This window comes from Homo sapiens, chromosome 16 (genome assembly GCF_000001405.40).
Source record: "Homo sapiens chromosome 16, GRCh38.p14 Primary Assembly".
Classification (NCBI taxonomy): domain Eukaryota; kingdom Metazoa; phylum Chordata; class Mammalia; order Primates; family Hominidae; genus Homo; species Homo sapiens.
Window position 1 is genome coordinate 11,352,403 of NC_000016.10, and position 19,531 is coordinate 11,371,933.

At 48.3% G+C, this 19,531-nt stretch overlaps 1 long non-coding RNA gene across 3 annotated transcripts in view, besides 5 other annotated features; it reads left to right on the plus strand.

Annotated features, from left to right (window-relative positions):
• LOC105371082 (uncharacterized) overlaps positions 1–19,531 on the plus strand; it is a 146,190-nt gene that overhangs the window by 102,802 nt on the left and 23,857 nt on the right. Inside the window, exon 1 of one of the 3 annotated variants that reach the window (XR_933072.3) lies at positions 42–3,278. The exons of the other annotated variants lie outside the window; for them this stretch is intronic. This is a non-coding gene — a long non-coding RNA (uncharacterized LOC105371082). Of the gene's footprint in view, positions 1–41; positions 3,279–19,531 lie in introns of those variants that run through there. 3 annotated transcript variants of the gene reach the window in all.
• Positions 1,849–2,701: an enhancer, noted in NCBI's record as "H3K27ac hESC enhancer chr16:11448108-11448960 (GRCh37/hg19 assembly coordinates)". NCBI's record gives its function as "activates a minimal SCP1, AML or CMV promoter by ChIP-STARR-seq in naive H9 embryonic stem cells {active_cell/tissue: H9 hESC(naive)}" and the evidence as "EXISTENCE:reporter gene assay evidence [ECO:0000049][PMID:30033119]".
• Positions 2,879–3,028: an enhancer, noted in NCBI's record as "active region_10438". NCBI's record gives its function as "activates an Ori minimal core promoter by ATAC-STARR-seq in GM12878 lymphoblastoid cells {active_cell/tissue: GM12878}" and the evidence as "EXISTENCE:reporter gene assay evidence [ECO:0000049][PMID:35858748]".
• Positions 9,935–9,994: an enhancer, noted in NCBI's record as "active region_10439". NCBI's record gives its function as "activates an Ori minimal core promoter by ATAC-STARR-seq in GM12878 lymphoblastoid cells {active_cell/tissue: GM12878}" and the evidence as "EXISTENCE:reporter gene assay evidence [ECO:0000049][PMID:35858748]".
• Positions 18,078–18,137: an enhancer, noted in NCBI's record as "active region_10440". NCBI's record gives its function as "activates an Ori minimal core promoter by ATAC-STARR-seq in GM12878 lymphoblastoid cells {active_cell/tissue: GM12878}" and the evidence as "EXISTENCE:reporter gene assay evidence [ECO:0000049][PMID:35858748]".
• Positions 18,323–18,823: an enhancer, noted in NCBI's record as "H3K4me1 hESC enhancer chr16:11464582-11465082 (GRCh37/hg19 assembly coordinates)". NCBI's record gives its function as "activates a minimal SCP1, AML or CMV promoter by ChIP-STARR-seq in primed H9 embryonic stem cells {active_cell/tissue: H9 hESC(primed)}" and the evidence as "EXISTENCE:reporter gene assay evidence [ECO:0000049][PMID:30033119]".

Here is a 19,531-nt window from a genome sequence, read left to right on the forward strand (position 1 = left end):
TAGAGACAAGGTTTTGCCATGTTGCCCAGGCTGGTCTCAAACTCCTGGGCTCAAGCAATCTTCCCATCTTGGCCTCCCAAAGTGCTGGGATTACAGGTGTGAGCCATTGTGTCTGGACTCCTCCAGGTCTTTTTGCAGCTTGTTAGCTTTTTTTTTTTTTTTTTTTTTTCAATAAATGCCCGTGCTTATTACAAGATAGAAACATGAAGAATTCCTTAGGTACTGTTTTTTTTTTTTTTTTTTTTTTTGAGACAGAGTCTAACCCTGTCACCCAGGCTGGAGTGCAGTGGTGTGATCTCTGCTCACTGCAACCTCTGCCTCCCGGGTTCAAGCGATTCTCCCGCCTCAGCCTCCTGAGTAGCTGGGATTACAGATGTGTGCCACCACACCCAGCTAATTTATTTATTTATTTATTTTGAGTTTTTTATTTTTGTTTGTTTGTTTAAGATGGGGCCTTGCCCTGTCACCCAGGCTGGCGTACAGTGGCGTGAACGTGGCTTACTGCAGCCTCAACCTCCCAAACTCAAGCAATCCTCCCATGTCATCCTCCTGAGTAGCTGGTACTACAGGCACAAATTCCTCGGCTCAAGCAATCCTCCCACCTTGGCCTCCCAAAGTGCTGGGATTACAGGTATGAGCCACCACGCCCAGCCAGCTCATTTCTTTTTATCACTGAATAATGTTCCATTGTATGGATGTACCATAGTTTTATCTAATCCACCTATTGAAGGACATCTTGACTCCAGTCTCTGATAACTATGAATAGAGCTGCTGTAAACATTCATGCCCAGGTTTTGAGTGGGTGTAAGTTTTCAGCTCATTGGGGTAAATGCCTAGGAGTGCAATTGCTGGGCCATATGGTAGACCTATGGTTAGCCTTGTAGAAACTGCCAGTCTGCTTTTGCATTCTCACCAGCAATGAAGGGGAGTCACTGTTCCACATCGTCTCCAGCACTGAGTGTTGTCAGTGTCTCGGGTGTGCTGTGCTTTTAAACTATTTTCTTTTTAAAGCCGGGCAGATTGGAAAGTATGCATCATTTTTGTTGCCCACAAGAAGCTTGTTTTGAACTGTTTTATGTTCACAGTTTGGGATTTTTCGGGCAATATTGCTGAGCTTTAACAGGAACTTTGCAGTCCTGTCAACCTGAATTTGAGCCCTTCATTTGCAAGTAACCTTGCCGTGTGACTATGAGCAAGGTACGTAACCTCTCCATTGTTCAGTTTCTTTATCTGTAAAATGCAGATTATGCCCAGCTCATAGCACTGGTGTGAGGAATAAATGAAGATGTAGATCACTTTTACATGGTATGTGACACTTGGTAGGCACCAAATCATTATTGCTGGGAGGATCAGTATGTTCTTGCTTGTCTACACACACACATACACACACACACACACGAGAGAGAGAGAGAGAGAAATTGCAAAGATAGTACAAAGAGTTCCCATATACCTGTACCCAGCTTCCCCTATTATTAACATGTTAGTATAGTGCATTTGTTAAAATTCATGAACCAATATTGAGATGTTATTAACCCAAGTCTGTACTTCATTCAGATTTCTCTGGGTTTTTCCTAATGTTCTTTCCTGTTCCAGGGTCCCATCCGGGACACCACATTCCATTTCGTCATCATGTCTCCCTAGGTGCTCTCCCTGGCTGGGTCGTTCAATCAGTTGCTTTTAATTGCATTTAAATTTAATTTTGGTGCAGACAGTGAGATCTGTTACAGAATTCTTAGGTTAAAACTTAGTCACAATGGCTGGGTGCAGTGGCTCACGCCTGTAATTGAAACACTTTGAGAGGTCGAGGCAGGCTGATCACTGGAGGCCAGGTGTTCAAGACCAGCTTGGGCAACATAGTCCCCCGTCTCTACTAAAAACACAAAAAAATTAGCCAGGCATGGTGGCACGCACCTGTAATCCCAGCTACTCTGGAGGCCGAAGCATGAGAATCTCTGGAACCTGGGAGGCGGAGGTTTCAGTGAGCCAAGATCATGCCACTGCACTCCATTCTGGACGACAGAGCCAGACTCTGTCTCAAAAACAAAAAACAAAAAAAGCAAACCTTGTTCACAAAATTATTATGGGGCACCCAGTAGTAGCCCCTGAGCTGGATGTGTGGTAGACTCCCCAGATGTTAACCTGAAGTCTGCCCTACTGTGGCGAAACCTGCTTGTGTGCTAGAAAAAAGACCCAAGCTGCCGAAAACCACCTGTACCGTATCCTGCCCCATTTGTCCTCACCCAACTTCTGGTAAGTAGTGTCCATTGAAAAATGCTAGTTGGGCTGACATGGTGGCCTGAGCAATAATGCATCTCAGGAGTCTGTTGGCGGGGTGGAGGTAGGAAAAGGAGGGCACTGTGTGTTTTTCCTGACAGTCCCCTCAGAAATGCTGGTGGCTTGGTGCTGGAAGGGTGTTGCCTCACCATGTTAGCTGAGCTGTGTGGTTTCTTTGAATGTTAACAACTTTCACTGTTTCGGCTTGAGTTTCCTCCCTGACATCACCAGATGAAAACATATGTCAGAGGTTTTGGGTTTCTGGTGCCAAATCCAAGATGGCTTATCAGCAAGCGCCCCCCGCCAGACAGTGGAGGCTGTGCTGGGGCAGAGCTGCTTCCCCTTTGACATTGGCTTTTTTCTAAAACCGAAAATAAGCAACCGTGGCTGTGACTTCACTTTTCTTGGAACTGCTTTACATTACCCCCCAAATGGAGAAAACCCTCATTTAGCAGCTTTTGGATTGCCAAGTTCTCTAATTCTTTCTGTTGCATATTCTTGTAATGCTCAAGTTTTACTGACAAAGTCTTCTGCATCAGGTGAAGCAGGAGGAGGAAGGAATGACCATGTGAAGTAACTGAGCGCTTTGTTGCCTGGCCTGTGGGTGTGTGGTTTCATGGTTGAGGAGAAAAAGCACCTGGAAGACACAGTGTGTGTAGAATGCCTTCCAGTTCCAAGGGTGACAACCCTGCGATCTGCTGGCCAGCAGATGGGCTAGGGCTGCTGTTGCTAAACATCAGGCTACAGCCGAAACTTACAGAGCAGCTGCCTGCTTCAAGGACAAGGGGAAAAATGCATTTTCAGTCATAATGACCTACATTTAGCAGATATTTCGGAGCCCGTGCGAAAGGACATCTTCAAAGGGCCTCTTCCTCCTTGTGATAAGGGAGACAGTGATGTTAGTCAAACGTGGGGCCCAGTCCTGGTCCTGCCCGTTCCTGTCTGACTTTGGCCTTGGAAGTCTGTGAAGCCGAGACAATTCATCCTTCAAAGGGTGGTACCGGGTAAGTTCTTGGGAATGGAATCCCAAGATCCACTCCTGAGAGTGGATCTTTGTAGACAGGCACATACGTTGTTCTGAAATCATCTGTTGCTATCTCTGTCCCTGTTGGAGGCGCTTCCAGTGACGTCGTGATTGTGTCCTACTTATCTCAGTATCCCTGCCCAGCATGGGGTCTTAGGTAACATACATGGGCAGTCGGTCAATGTTAGGACTGGCTGGGTTTTAGGCTAGAAGACAGAGGAAATATACAAGCAAAGGCACAGTGTCTTAAATTTACACTTGGCCCGCAGCAGTTTTCAGAAGAAAGGAGCCCCCTGCTTAGTAGCGCCTTTTGAATTGGGCCCCCTGTGTAGTTTATAGCAGGCCTGAGGGTGCTGGCTAGACTGTTGGGGAGTGCTCTTTAAGCACAGAGGAAAGATTTGGTAAAGACATAAAAGGGTGGAGGAAAAGGAGCGAGACAGCCGAGTCCAAAAAACGATTCATGTGGTTTGGGCAGAATCTGAAATGAGAGTCCTTTGAGATTGACTGAACGTCTCTTGATAAAGAAAGCAAGTTCAGCTGGGCGTGTTGGTTCATGCCTGAAATCCCAGCACTTTGGGAGGTTGAGGCGGGCAGATCACCTGGGGTCAGGAGTTCAAGACCAGCCTGGCCAACATGGTGAAACCCCATCTCTACTAAAAATACAAAAAATTAGCCGGGTGTGGTGATGTGTGTCTGTGGTCCCAGCTACTTGGGAGGCCGAGGCAGGAGAATCGCTTGAACCTGGGAGATGGAGGTTGCAGTGAGTAGAGATCGCGCCACTGCACTCCAGGCTGGGTGACAGAGAAAAACTCTGTCTCAATAAAATAAAATAAAATAAAAATAAAAGAATGCAAATTCAGCTAAGAGTTAAGTGCCAGGGCCTGTGCTGGAAGCCGTCTCATGAGTCGCTTCATTTTACTGTCCCAGTACGCCTGGGAGGTCTGTTTCCCATCCCCTTTCACAGCTGTGAAAACCGCAGCCACGGAGATGAAGTCCTTTTTCCAGGGGCATCTACCTGGCAGCCGAAGAGCCAGGTGGTGAACCAATAGGTGCCCCTTGTCGTTAAGGGCACTGTTGTTGTGGGTGGCCAGGACCAGGCCCTTCCCTAGGGCAGCTCTTCCCCAGGGCAGCTCTGGGAGCTGATGGTCTCTACACGGGCGCTGGCCCCCCCTGCTGGTCTATGCACAGAAAATGGGATGACAACCCGTCACCAGAAAACAAGGGCACAGAATGGAGCAAAGGAACAAAATGGGGCCATGAGAAACTTCACCCCTGTCTACCCAGGAGTTCTGCCCATTATGGCCAAGCCCAGGTGGGGGTGGGGAGAGTGCTGGATTTGGCAACCAGATGGGTTCTGAGGGGCTTGCAGTGGGGCCAGCCCCACTGTTCATTCAGTGGATGACCTTGGGTGGGTTATTTTCACTGCCCTTCTGATATCCATAGAGAAGGGATGACGTGGGGTCAGAGAGGTTAAATAATTCGTCTGCATGACTGTTAACTGGAATCTGGTGCTTCAAAGTTCACTTTAGTGGCCTTTCTGTCGCCAAGCACCTGCTGGGTTCCAGACTCTGGATACACGAGGTGAAGGAGACACGTGGCTGCCCCCTGTGTGCATGGTATCTTCTTGGACCTCCCATTCCTCCTTATCGTTCCTGTTTTAAGCCCGAGGAAGTCCTGTGCTTTTAAGAACTTGTGCGGTTAGATTGGGCTCACCTGGGTATCGAAGCTAATCTCCCCATCCCAATGCCCTGACTAATCCCATCTGCAAAGTCCCTTTTGCTACGTAAGGTGTATGATATTCAGAGGTTCTGGGGATTAGGGCGTGGACATCGTTGTGTGGGGAGGGACATTCTGCCTACTAGACCCCAAAGATGTGTGTTCATACCAAATACAAAATACATTCACCCTGCCCCAAGGTCTCATCCCATTATAACATCAACTGAAGAGTCCCAAATCTGCTCTCAATCTCGTCACCTAATCACCTCAATCTGGTGCTGCGGAGGCTTTGGGTATGACCCATCCTGAGCAGTTCGTCTCCCTCTGTGAACCTGGAACTCACTAAACCAGTTACCAGGCCCTAAAGTGCAGTGGGTGGCCACCTAGAGGAGCACAATCTAGTTCTGTCCCTGATCCAAGGGACCTGAGATGTAATATGGGCAAGAAAGAAAAGGAAGAAACAATGAGGCTGTACACCCAGAAATACCAAACTGCCTAGCCTCCCTTCCTCCTGCTCACACAGGACAGGGAAAGGAGTTTCTCCAAAGGGCCTGTCAGCACCGAATTCCACATCCTGTGAGCTTGGGAAGATGCCAAGCTACACGCTTTCCTCCAGCGGGTACTGCTCATTTTAGAAAGTGAGTCAGTCTGGGCGTGGTGGCTCACAGCCGTAGTCCCAGCACTTTGGGTGGCCGAGGCGGGTGGATCACCTGAAGCCAGGAATTTGTGACCAGCCTGGCCAACATGGCAAAACCCTGTCTCTACCAAAAATAGAAAAATTAGCCGGGCATGGTGGTGCACGCCTGTGGTCCCAGCTACTTGGGAGGCTGAGGCAGGAGAATCACTTGAACCCAGGAGGCGGAGGTTGCGGTGAGCCGAGATCGTTCCACTGCACTCCAGCCTGGGTGACAGAGTGCCACTGAGACTCCGTCTCAAGAGAAAAAAGAGTCAGCACCTGCCCTGGGGTCTTCCATCAGACAGCTGTGCATTACCTCAGGTGAAGGTTTTCCCAGAGCACAGCTGAGCTTGGTCATCCTGCATGTAGGACTCAGTGTTGTCAAAAGTAGTTGATTATCAGCTCCACCTGGGCTGTTTTTAACCTGGTCCCTACCCATATCTTTAATTAGGATCCACGTGCTGGGGGCTCAGGAAGTCTAAGCTTTTAGAAAGCTCTCCGGTGGGTCTCGTCATCAACCAGGCTTGGCAGCCACAGATCTACAGCTTCCTGGCCCAGAGATAGCTGGGCCACAGGAGGGGTCAGAGCTGCCCGTGGCACTGGTTGTGAACTGGTGAAGGCTTCCTCTGGTGGGGACCCTGGAGCCCTGAGTACCAGGACCAAGGGGTCCATGCATGCCCCAAGCTTCTGAGGAGGAGAAGAAAGGAAGGATGGAAAAAGCCCATGTGGAGGAACAGGGCTGCTCCACCTCTTGGACGTCCAGGGCCATCTTGATGCTGGGCCGTTGCAAGGTAGTGATATCAAGTTCCCTTTTTAAAAAGCCCGGTGGCTGGATGCAGTGGCTCACGCCTGTAATCCCAGCACTGTGGGAGGCCAAAGCGGGCAGATCACCTGAGGTCAGGAGTTCCAGACCAGCCTGGCCAACATGGTAAAACCCTGTCTCCACTAACAATACAAAAATAAGCTGGGTGTGGCGGTGGGTGCCTGTAGTCCCAGCTACTTGGGAGGCTGAGGCAGGAGAGTCGCTTGAACCCAGGAGGCGGAGCTTGCAGTGAGCTGAGATGGCGCCACTGCACTCCAGCCTGGGTGACAGAACGAGACTCCATCTCGGGGAAAAAAAAAAAAGTGAGCCCTTTTACAGAAAACTACTAAGTAAACAATAGTACAGTGGTACCTGAGTGACTGATGTTTGGGTACTTTTTCCTGATGTTCTAAAATAGAGCTGCACTGTCCAATGTGATTGTCACCAGCCTCATGGAGCTGTGGAGTACTTGGAGTGTGCTGGTGTGATAGACAGAGTGGCCAAACTTAGTAAATAAAAGTGTAGGGTGCCTCCCATTCCACCAGTGTGGGCTGTGCACAGTGACTTCCTTCCAGAATGGAAAGGGGGATGAAAGAGTAACTTTACGGTGGTGAAACCTGACAAACTGCCTCAGCCAGCTGGCCAAGGTTAACATCAAGTAATACATCACGTTAATAGCACACATGGGTAAGATGCCTGAGGCCCTGGGAGGCCAGGACTTAGAAGCCTCAAATTCCACAGCCAGTCCTCACCGCCCTCACGTGGCTCCTGCAGAGAGTAGGGACAGTGCCCTAAGGGGACTTTGGGAGTCTCATGTGACCACATGAGGTCTCTTGAAGGCCTGGAGAGGCATTTGCGGACATGGTGTCTTCCATAGGTATGACAGCCGGGGTTGGTGCTTGAGACCTCTGGTCAGAGCCTGTAATGCCACGTCATGAATTGCCACAAACTTAGCAGCTTAAAAAAACAAATGTATTAATATCTCACAGTTTCTGTGGGTCGGGGTCTGGTAGGGTGTTGTTAGGTTCTCTGCTCAGGACCTCTTCAGGCCAAAATCAAGGTGTCAGCCAGCTGAGCTCTCTTCAGGAGGCTCTGGGAAGAATCCCGAATGGGCATCCAGGCTCATCAGGCTGTTGGCAGAATTCAGTTCCTTGCAATTGTAGGGCTGAGGTCCCATTTCCTTGCCGGCTGTAAACTGGAGGCTCCTAGAGGTCCCCTCCATCTTCAGGAACGAGCCTTGAATCTGCCTCCTGCTCTCCAGCCTCTGATTTCCTGGGCCCAGGTTTAGAGAGGGCTCATGTGATTGGCTCAGGCCCCCTACCTTAAGGTCAGGTGACTTGGGACTTTACCTCTCCAGAATCACTGCACAGCAACACCTAGATTCGTGTTCGATTGAATGACTGGGGGAAGGTGTATCCAACGGGTTGGAATCGTGTCTGTGGAGGGGAAGGGGTATCTTAGAATTCTGTCCACGAGGACCTGCCTGATGGAACAGCACAATAGGGCTTCAGATCCAGACAGCATGGTTCCAATCCCAGCTTTACTACCACTCAATAAATGATTTGGGACACATAGCCTTTTTGGGCTTCCATTTCCTCACTTTGCAAAATTGAAGTAAGAACAGCCTTGTTTGCCGCCTTGTAGTCCCTACTACTCGGGAGCCTGAGGCAGGGGAATCACTTGAACCCGGGAGGCGGAGCTTGCAGTGAGCCAAGATCACACCATTGCACTGCAGCCTGGGTGACAAAGCAGGACTCCATCATACAAAAAAAAAAAACAAAAAACAAAACCAGCCTTGTTAAATTCATCCCATGTGTTGATGCACTGGCTGTAATATTCCTGCTATTATTAGTGACTTGCTCCCAGAGCTGCCCTGCCCATTGGGAGAGCTCTTCTGTCTTCCTAGGTGGAAGAATCGTGTTTTCCCTGCCTTTACCACATTCTCCGCCTCTCTGGCTGGTGTCACGGTCCTTTAAGGAGAATGAGCGCATTGACTCCAGGATCTTGGTCTCCCCAGTTTGGCGGCTGGCCCCGACTTGGCATGAGAAATAAATGTCAGTGGGAAAAATCTTTTTAAAGATGTACGTATGTAGTAAAATGCATATCCAAACACAAATGTCGTTGCACGTGTTGATGTGTCTTCAGAAACCTGGGGTAGGGAAGTTTGGTAGGTGGAAGTTACTGTCCATCTCCTTTCTCATTGCATGGCGCATGGAAGATGAGATTTTGGCTTTAGCGTTTCGCTGTGAGTGTCCTGTTTATTTCATGGTCATGGGCCTTTAGTATCAAATTTACTTGAAAACCTTATGAAATTATACAGAAAGAAAGAATGAGGAATCTTGGGTAATGGGAAAGCAACCAGCCAGTTTTGCAAAAATTCCAACATGGGTGATTTTTAACTAATTGGAAAAACATGTCTCTTCTCAGTTGACTTAATCCTTTTTGCAGTGCTGGGGGCCATAAGCGTTCCCAGGAGGTTTAAGGAGCATAATCAGCCCCCAAGGTGGTCTGCACAGTGACAAAAAAGGACAAAGGGCTCTGCCTGCGTCTGAGGGTCCTGTAGTCATGGCCAGCTGTGTCTAGGGGAGCAAAGACCCTGTCTGTCATCAGCCTTCCTGGCTAAGGCAAGGGGATGAGTTTGAGATAGTAGAGTGTGGGCACTTGTTCTGGCTGGAAACTTAGCCTTCAAAACAAGATCCCAGAGGCAGAATTTGAGACCCAAACAGGAAAAGGAAATGCCCAATGTTGAAGCACTCAGAGCGGAGGGGTCCAGAGCCGTTTGATTATAAGCAGAGTGTTGGGTCCTTACACACTTTTACAAAGTTGTTTTCAGAGACACGGAAGTCGATGGTCCGCACTTTCTCTTCCTCATTGGAGTTCCCTGGAAAAGCGTGTTGCCAGGGACAGATGATCTGACGGGGCCACAGCCCCACCAGTGTCCTTAGGAGGGAAACCTGTCAGCAGAGGGACCTCAGCCCTGGCTGATCACATGGGCTATGCTAGGCCAGTATCTGCAGAAACCAACAGCCTGCCCTTAAAGCTCCTAAGTTGGAGAGACCTGCTCGGTCACGATCCTGGCTTTGCTAGCCACACTCAGTCCCCGGGTTCATCTCTCGGGGCCAATGCGATGTTGTTTGTGAGATGGAGAGAATGGCATTGCCCCTACCCCCACCAGGGTGGCTTCAGGATGAAATTCAACACGGGAAGCAGCCTCCCCCCACCCCCATGGACCGAGAGGTGATACTATTAGAGTTATATGGGTTTGTGGTTTCCCCTTACTGTCTCCACTTCCTTCCTGAAACCCTGAAAGAGGCTTCGCAGGAAAGGAAGGGTCTTTCAGATGCCTGAGTGCAGCTGGGAATGGCTGTCCCCAGTTAGCCAGGCTGGTTGGAGCCTAGGGTGAGTTGGCTGGGTTGTGGGTTTGAACCACCAGAATCACTGAGGCACAGCTGGCCCACTGCCGAGTGCTGCCAGCCATCCTGCAAACGCCACCATTGCTCATCCCTGGGAGATGCTCCAGCATTGACCAAAAGGGTTGCCGGGTCTTGTCCTGCTCAGGACAGGCCACTCTAGAGTGATCTATAGTCATACTGTAAGGATAGATCTGGGTCCTGTGCCTCCCACGGACCCTGAGCACAGAATACACATGACAGGGCCCCAGCACACGGGCGGCGGCCCCTCTTGTTAGTATTAATTATGCACTTATGTGAAATGCACCTGCTCTTGAAGAAGGGGACAGCCAATGATTAAAACAGTTGAGGGCAGGTCACCAGGCTGTTGCAGGCTCCATTAAGAAATGGCTCTGAGAGGGTTACTTTAGAGCAAGGGAAGGGTCTTCTGTTGCAGGGGCTCTGTGCCTGGCCAGCACCACCTCCCCCGCCTTTTTTTTTTTTTTTTTTTTTTGAGATGGAGTCTCGTTCTGTTGCCCAGGCTGGAGTGCAGTGGCGCAGTCTCGGCTCACTGCAACCTCTGCCTCCCAGGTTCAAGCGATTCTCCTGCCTCAGCCTCCCAAGTAGCTGGGACCACAGGCGTGTGCCACCATTCCTGGCTAACTTCTTGTATTTTTAGTGGAGACGAGGTTTCACTGTGTTAGCCAGGATGATCTCAATCTCTTGACCTCGTGATCCACCCACCTTGGCCTCCCAAAATGCTGGGATTACAGGCGTGAGCCACTGCGCCCGGCCAGCCAGTCCCTTATTTTATGGAAACCCCAGCCTATTCCAGCCACCCAAGAACCTTCGTTAAGTGGCTCTGAAGTGGGAATGGCTACTTAATTTGCAGGGATCAGCACAAAATGAAAATCAATAATTTTCAGAAATTAAGATTCAAGATGGTAATAGAGCATTCGAGTGAGCATTGGGGACCCTTCTGAGCACAGGGCCCTGTCTGTGCAGTTTGCACACAGCCCAGGTCTGGGGAGAGTACAAGGCAGGCAGCTGGCTTGTAGCATGTGAATGAACTGAGTCACCCTGCCCTTTGTGGGAGTTGACCTGCATCTTTTCTAGGCTGTTGGCCAGGGCAGGGCTGATGACATGAGCGGGGCTTGCCCTGGTGTGGGCTGAATATGATACACTGTGAGAAGTTGAAGGGAGGGGGATTGGAGTAGGGTGCTCCAGGCAGCATCATCTCTGTACAACAGGAAGTCCCTGAGCTTGGACACATGACTTGATCACCTGTCACAAGGTTCAAGGTGAAACCCAGAAGGCCAGGCAATGATGCATTGAAACTGTCACTACCCAAGTCAGCATTTTCTAATACCATTAAACACTTTTGGCCGGGCGTGGTGGCTCACGCCTGTAATCCCAGCACTTTGGGAGGCTGAGGCGGGCAGATTATGAGGTCAGGAGACCGAGACCATCCTGGTTAACACGGTGAATACTAAAAATACAAAAAATTAGCCGGGCGTGTGGTGGGGCCTGTAGTCCCAGCTATTCGGGAGGCTGAGGCAGGAAAATGGCATGAACCCAGGAGGCGGAGCTTGCAGTGAGCCGAGATGGCGCCACTGCACTCCAGCCTGGGCAACAGAGCGAGACTCCATCTCAATAAAAAAAAAACCTTTTTTTATAGATACGAGGTCTCGGTGTGTTGACCAGGCTGGTCTTGAATTCTTGGTCTCAAGTGATCCTCCTGTCTCGGCGTCCCAAGGTGTTGGGATTACAGTCATGAGCCACTGCACCTGGCCTCCAACACCATTTTGAAAATTTTGATATATCTGTGATTTTGGATTACATCTGTTTTGTTACTTCTGTTAGAGAAAACTGACCTGGCCGGGCACGGTGGCTCATGCCTATAATCCCAGCACTTTGGGAGGACAAGGCGGGTGGATCACTTGAGAATCAGGAGTTTTAGACCATCCTGGCCAACATGGTGAAACCCTGTCTATACTAAAAATCAAAAATTAGCCAGGCATGGTGGTGGGCGCCTGTAATCCCAGCTACTCAGAGGCTGAGGCAGGAGAATCGCTTGAACCCACGAGACAGAGATTGCAGTGAGCCGAGATCGCGCCACTGCACTCCAGCCTCAGCGACAGAACAAGACTCTGCCTCCAGAAAAAAAAACAAAACTTCAAAAGCAGATTTGTCATTGCCAGGTGACCTTGTCAACCATGGGTGTACAAGGACAAACCAAATCCGGGTGAAAGAATTTGTGCCTTGTTTTCTTTGCCTTTGACCTTCAGCCCCGTGCATTCCTGCAAATGCATTGCCCCTGGTAAACCTTAAGAAGACCTTAACTTTTCTGTTTTAAGTGAGATTTCCAAGTTAATTTAAGTTGTGTGGAACAGGACACTCCCTTTACTGGAGAGCAATTGGTATCTGAAGAGAATGAGATAGAGGTTGCTAAGGAAACCCTTGTTTGCAATGTTTGGTTTACATAAATTATTGGTGAATAAGAAAAATAAGTTTATTCCTTCTTCCAGATGGTAAACTGGAAGGGAAGCATGTTACTGGGTAAAGTGAGTCATGGGCCGTGGGAGGCTCAGATGGAAAAGGGCTCTGGGATGCCTCTCTCTCTCTCTCTTTACTTGGGACCCCTTTCTAATTTACCTACCAGGCCTCAAAAGACAAAGCCCTCTAATCTGTTTAGGCAGGAACAGATAAAATTCCTCTGGGTGGATGGGTAGGGGAGGGAAGGAGGAAGTTTGCAGAAACTGAAAGAGAACTTTTTTGGGGGGAGAGGGAGAAATCTCTTGTTTAATTACAAAACCAAAATATCATTTGCAATGCCTTCCTTCTCCTACTAGTCTTAAGGAATTGATAAGTAATTCACATACCACAAAATGCAGCACTTTAAAGTGTACCATTCTCTGATGTTTTTTGTTTGTTTTTGAGATGGAGTCTCGCTCTGTCACCCAGACTGGAGTACAGTGGCACGATCTCGGCTCACTGCAACCTGCGCCTCCTGGATTCAAGCCATTTTTCCGCCTCAGGCTCCCGAGTAGCTGGGGTTATAGGCACCCGGCATCATGCCTGGCTAAGTTTTGTATTTTTTGTAGAGATGAGGTTTCACCATGTTGGGCAGGCTGGTCTTGAACTCCTGACTTCAGGTGATCTGCCTGCCTCGGCCTCCCAAAGTGCTGGGATTACAGGCATGAACTACCGTGCCTGGCCTTTCTCTGGTGTTTAGTGTATACACAGTGGTACAACCATCACCACTACTAATTCGAGAACACTTCATCACCCTAAAAGAAATGCCATACCCATTAACAGTCAATCCCACAATCCTCCCATCCCCCTCAGCTCTTGCAATCATGAATGTACTTTCTGTCTATATGAATTTGTCTGTTTTGGACATTTCCTTCCAATGTAATCATACAATATGTAGCATTTCGTGTCTGGCTTCTGGCACTCAGCATGGTGGGTTTTTAAAATTTTTGTTGTTGTTTTGAGACAGAGTCTCACTCTTTCGCCCATGCTGGAGGGCAGAGGCACGATCTCGGCTCACTGCAACCTCTGCCGCCCTGGTTCAAGTGATTCTTCTGCCTCAGTCTCCCAAGTAGCTAGGATTACAAGTACCTGCCACCATGCCCAGCTGATTTTTGTATTTTTAGTAGAAATGGGGTTTCACCATGTTGGCCAGGCTGGTCTTGAACTCCTGGCCTGCAGTGATCCACCCGCCTCAGCCTTCCAAAGTGCTGGGATTACAGGTGTGAGCCACCATGCCTGGCTCAGCATGGTGTTTTCAATATCCATTCATGTTGTGGCCTGTATCAGTACTTCATCCCTTATTATGACTGATTCCTTTTTATGACATAATATTCCATCATATGGATAGACCACATTTGGTTTATCCACTCATTGGTGGATGGACTTTCGGTTGTTTTTCCTAATTTTTGGCAAAAGGGACTTGTTGACACCTAATGGAACTGCAGGAGTCCCAAAGCTGGGCCTTGGTTTTAGGAAAGACTTAACCAGAAGTTAGGGAAAGGACAGCACAGTATTTGATGTTCCTCATGAAAAATGCCATTTTCTCAGGTGGCAGTTGTTATTGATAGAGATGAGGTCTCACTATGTTGTCCAGGATGGTCTCAAGCTCCTGAGCTCAAGTGATCTGCCCACCTTGGCCTCCCAAAGTGGTGAGCCACTGTACCAACCCCATTTTCTGCATTTTTAATTGTTCCATCAAAAAAGTAGGAAGCCGACATATTATCTGTTTATCTGATGTTAATAGAGTTTTATAATTAATGTTTACATAGATATCTTTTTTCATCCTGTGTTTTCATCTTACCTGCTTTTCTATGTACAGTGTGCCTCTTCTACACATTATGTAGGTGAGTCATGTTTTTGTTTGTGTTTTTTTAAATTTAGTCTCACTATCTCACTTTCACTTGGAGTGTTTATTTCACTTACTTTCGTTCAATGGAACTTCTCTCTGTTTTTTTTTTTTTTTTTTTTTTTAGAGACGGAGTCTCGCTCTGTCGCCCAGGCTGGAGTGCAGTGGCGCAATCTCGGCTCACTGCAAGCTCTGCCTCCCGGGCTCACGCCATTCTCCTGCCTCAATTTCCCAAGTAGCCAGGACTACAGGCGCCTGCCAGCATGCCTGGCTAATTTTTTGTATTTTTTAGTAGATGGGGTTTCACCGTATTAGCCAGGATGTTCTCTATCTCCTGACCTCGTGATCCGCCCGCCTCGGCCTCCCAGAGTGCTGGGATTACAGGCGTGAGCCACTGTGCCCAGCCCAATGGAATTTCTAATGTATGCTGTTTGTGTTTTTTGTTGTTGTTTTTCTTTTAGACACAGTCTTGCTTTGTTGCCCAGGCTGGAGTGTGCAGTGGCATGATCTGTGTGCAGTGGCTCACTGCATCCTCCGCACCCCTCCCCCCGCCCTGGGTTCAAGCGATTCTCCTGCCTTAGCCTCCCGAGTAGCTGGGATCACAGGTGCACGCCAGTGCGCCCAGCTAATTTTTTTTTTTTTTTTTGTATTTTTCATAGGGAGCCAGCGCACCCACCTATTTCTCTTTGTCTCTTGTTCCTCCTTTCTTGCCTTCTTTTGGATTAATGGAGTGATTCTTCACATTTCCTTTTATCTCTGTTGACTTCTGGCTATATCTTTTTGCTCTATGTTTTTAGCTATATATGTTTTCTTTAGCGATTGTTCTAGGGATTACAACACACACCCTAACTTTTCACAGTGCACCTACGGTGCTTATGACACCACTTGGGCAATAAGGCAGTAAAAAGGAATGAAGCACAGACATGGGCCACACATGGGTGAGCCTCGAACTTTATGCCAAGTCCAAGCAGCCAGTCACAAAGGGCCACGTATTGTATGATTCCATTTATGTGAAATGTCCACACATGGGTGAGCCTCGAACTTTATGCCAAGTCCAAGCAGCCAATCACAAAGGGCCACGTATTGTATGATTCCATTTATGTGAAATGTCCAGAATGAGAAAATCCAGAGAGAGAGAGGGAGCAGATTACTGGTCACCTGGTGCTGGGGAGGAAGGAAGAACTGGGAGGGGGGATGACTAAGGATAACAGGGTTCCTTGTTGGGGAAATGAAAATGTTCTAAAATCAATTGAATTGTGGTGATGGATGCACCGTTATGTAAGTATACCAAAAGCCACTGATTTTGACACTTTATTTTTTATCTCTGTCTATCTATCTATCTAGGAGACAGTCTCCGTCTGTTGCCCAGGCTGGAGTGCAGTGGCATGATCTTGGCTCACTGCAACCTCTGCCTCCCAGGTTCAAGCTATTCTCCTGGCTCAGCCTCTTGAGTAGCTGGGATTACAGGTGTGTGTGACCATGCCTGGCTAATTTTTGTTTGTTTCAGATGGAGTCTTGCTCTGTCGCCCAGGCTGCAGTGCAGTGGCACGATCTTGGCTCACTGCAACCTCTGCCTCCTGGGTTCAAGTGATTCTCCTGCCTCAGCCTCCCGAGTAGCTGGGATTACAGGTGCCCACTACCTGTGACACCCAGCTAATTTTTTTTGGACTTTTAGTAGAGATGGGGTTTCACCATGTTGGCTAGGCTCGTCTCGAACTCCTGACCTCAGGTTATCCACCTGCCTTGGCCTACCAAAGTGCTGGGATTACAGGCGTGAGCCACTGTGTCCAGCCCCATAAGGTAGATTTATATTCACCTTTTAAGAAACCGCCAAACTGTGTTTTGGAGTTGCCATGCCGCCACGTTCCCCCCAGCATGTGTGGAGCCTCCATTTCCACACACCCCCTCTTGATATTGATGTGACATCTTTTTAATGTTGAACGTTTCTCGATAACACATGCAGCATGGCCTTCTTTGCATTCAAAGTGTTTCATATCCCTCAGCAGCATTTGAAAGATTTCTTCATATGGATTGTGTGTGTATATTTTTGCACATTTATTTCTGAGAATTTTGTTTTTTGGGAGTGTGCTGTTGCAAATGGGATGTTTTCTTCTGTTAACTTTTCTAACTGCTTGTTTGTACATAGGAGGACTGAGGCCAGCCTTGGTGGCTCACATCTATAATCCTAGCACTTAGGGAGACTGAGGCAGAAGGACTGCTCGAGCCCAGGAGTTTGAGACCAGCCTGGGCATCATAGTAAGACCGCATCTTTATGTTATTTTTTTTTTGAGACAGGGTCTTTCTTTGTCACCCAGGCTAAGTGCAGTAATGCAGTCCCGGTTCACTGCAACCTCCATGTCCTGGGTTCAAGCAATTCTCATGCCTCAGCCTTCTGAGTACCCGGTATTACAGGTGTGTGCCATCACACCCAGCTAATTTTTGTATTATTAGTAGAGGTGGAGTTTTGCCATGTTGGCCAGGCTGGTACCGAACTCCTGGCCTCGAGCAATCCGCCTCTCTCGGCCTCCCAAAGTGCTGGGATTACAGGCGTGAGCTGTGCCCGGCCCCATCTCTATATTTTAAAAATTAAGAAAAAGGAAGGCTGCTTATTATGTTACTTTTGTACCTAACTCCTTAGCAAAATCTGTCTGCCTCATTTTTCAGAGTAAATTATTTTACCTCCTGCTTTTTTCTTAAATGTCTTACTTTCCTCCTTGCCTAGTTTCATCAGCTAGGGCCTCCAAAATAATAGTGGTAACAGAGGGCATTCTTTTGTTGCGAAGGTTAATGGAAGCTTCTGTTGCTTCCATCCCCTATAAATGATGCTGGGCTCTGGCTTGATGGGTGTGTGTCTGGGTGTAATTTCCTTTATCGTGTGTAATTTAAGGAAGTATCCCTCTTTCTAATTTGATGTGTTTTTTTCTAAATTTTGTAGTAAATTTTGTCAAATGCCTTTTCAACATCTACGATGATTATGATTTTTAACATATTAATATGAATGAAATTAGGCTGGGCGCAGTGGCTCACACCTGTAATCCCAGCACTTTGGGAGGCTGAGGCAGGCAGATCACAAGGTCAGGAGGTCAAGACCATCCTGGCTAACATGGTGAAACCCCATCTCTTCTAAAAATACAAAAAAGCTAGTCAGGTGTGGTGGCGGACGCCTGTAGTCCCGGGAGGGTGAGGCAGGAGAACTGAGTGAACCCAGGAAGCGGAGCTTGCAGTGAGCCTAGATCGCACCACTGCACTCCAGCCTGGGCAATAGAGCGAGACTCCATCTCAGGAAAAAAAAAAAAAAAAAAAAAATATGTGTGTATATATATATATATATATATATATATATATATATTTGAAATTAAAAGATGTTCTAATTTTGAGCTATCCTTGTCACACTGTACAATTCTCACTTGGTTTAGGTCACTTTTTTTTTAAGGCCCCAGTGGGGTTTGTTTGGTAATATTTTATTTTGGATTTTCTTACCTTGATTTGTATGTAAACATCTTACCTTGTTTTGTTTTGGAGATAGGGCCTTGCTCTGATGCCCAGGCTGGAGTGCAGTGGTGTGATCATAGTTGATTGTGATTTTGAACTCCTGGGCTCAAGTGATCCTCCTGCCTCAGCCTCCTAGACAGGCATGTGCCACCATGCCTGGCTAATGATTAAATTTTTTTAGAGACAGAGTCTTGCTATGTTGTCCAGGCTGGAGTTCAGTGTATATTGTAGACGTGAATTGGTCTTTCCGCTGGAATCATTCCCTCTCCTATCTGTTTCAAATTCATGCATAAGTACTCCACCCACACCCCCCAGTTGGAAAGTATTGATGTTGTCCAACCTGCCTTGAGAAGGGAGAACTATGTTTCCCTCTTTGTATCTCTGCTGGTGTCCAGTCCACTGCTGTGTTTTTGGTAAATACTTGACCCATAGAATGTGGGAGGCAGGAAGGAAAGCTTCTGCGTTTCCTTTCTGGACCAGAAATCATGGATCCGTTAAGCATATTGAGAAACCAACAGGTCAGGTGGCTGCACACTCTAGTTGCATCTGACTCTGAATTGCTCATGGGCCCCTGAGCACCAGTGATTTGCTTTTCTTTTATTGCAAAAGCAGAAGTGGGGGTTGAGTGAGCTTGGGCAGCCTTGGGAGGCAGGCAGGCCCGCGTCAGTGCCATCCTGGCTGTTTGTAGCTTGTATGACCTTGGGGAAATCCCCTCAACTCTCTGAGCCTTTGTTTCTTCTCTCATTAAGTGGGGATCATCCGTTCCTCATTGGACTATTGTAAGGCCTAAGATCAAACTTTTTTTTTTTTTTTTTTTTTGAGATGGAGCCTTCGCTCTGTCGCCCAGGCTACAGTGCAGTGGCACGATCTCCGCTCACTGCAAGCTCCACCTCCCGTGTTCACGCCATTCTCCTGCCCCAACCTCCCAAGTAGCTGGGACTACAGGAGCCCGCCACCTCACTCGGCTAATTTTTTGTATGTTTAGTAGAGACGGGGTTTCACCGTGTTAGCCAAGATGGTCTCGATTTGCTGACCTCATGATCCACCCACCTTGGCCTCCCAAAGTGCTGGGATTACAGGCGTGACCCACTGTGCCCGACCCAAACTTTTTTTTTTTTTTTTTGAGACGGAGTCTCACTCTGTCGCCAGGCTGGAGTGCAGTGGTGTGATCTTGGCTCACTGCAGTCTCCGCCTCCTGGGTTCAAGCAGTTCTCTGCCTCAGCCTCCTGGGTAGCTGGGATTACAGGCGCCAGCCACCATGCCCGGATTTTTTTTTTTTTTTTTTTTTTTTCCAGTAGAGATGAGGTTTCACCGTGTTGGCCAGGCTGGTCTTGAATTCCTGACCTCATGATCCACCCGCCTCGGCCTCCCAAAGTGCTGGGATTACAGGCGTGAGCCACTGCACCCAGCCCCCAGATCAAACATCTTTCAAGGCACTTGGAGCAGTGCCTGGTCTCCAGGGTCTTTAGGCTGTAACCACAGCAAAGCACTCAAATCACAGCCACTCTCCCTTCTGTCTTCCCTCCAGTGTGGGGGTGTGGAGGACCAACCTTCTTGTTCCCATTCACCCTGGAGTTCTTTCTTCTGAACTTCATCTAGCACCTGCTATGCACCAGGGATTCATGGGGGGGATGGTGGGGCGGAGGTCAAGGACGGTCAAGTCTGGCCTTCAGCTTGCCTCAGTCCCCGTGGCTGATGCCTTGCCCTTTGCTCTGGAATCTGGGCCCTACAAGCTCCTACCAGGCTCAGTGCAGAGAGGGCTCGAGGGCACCCCCTA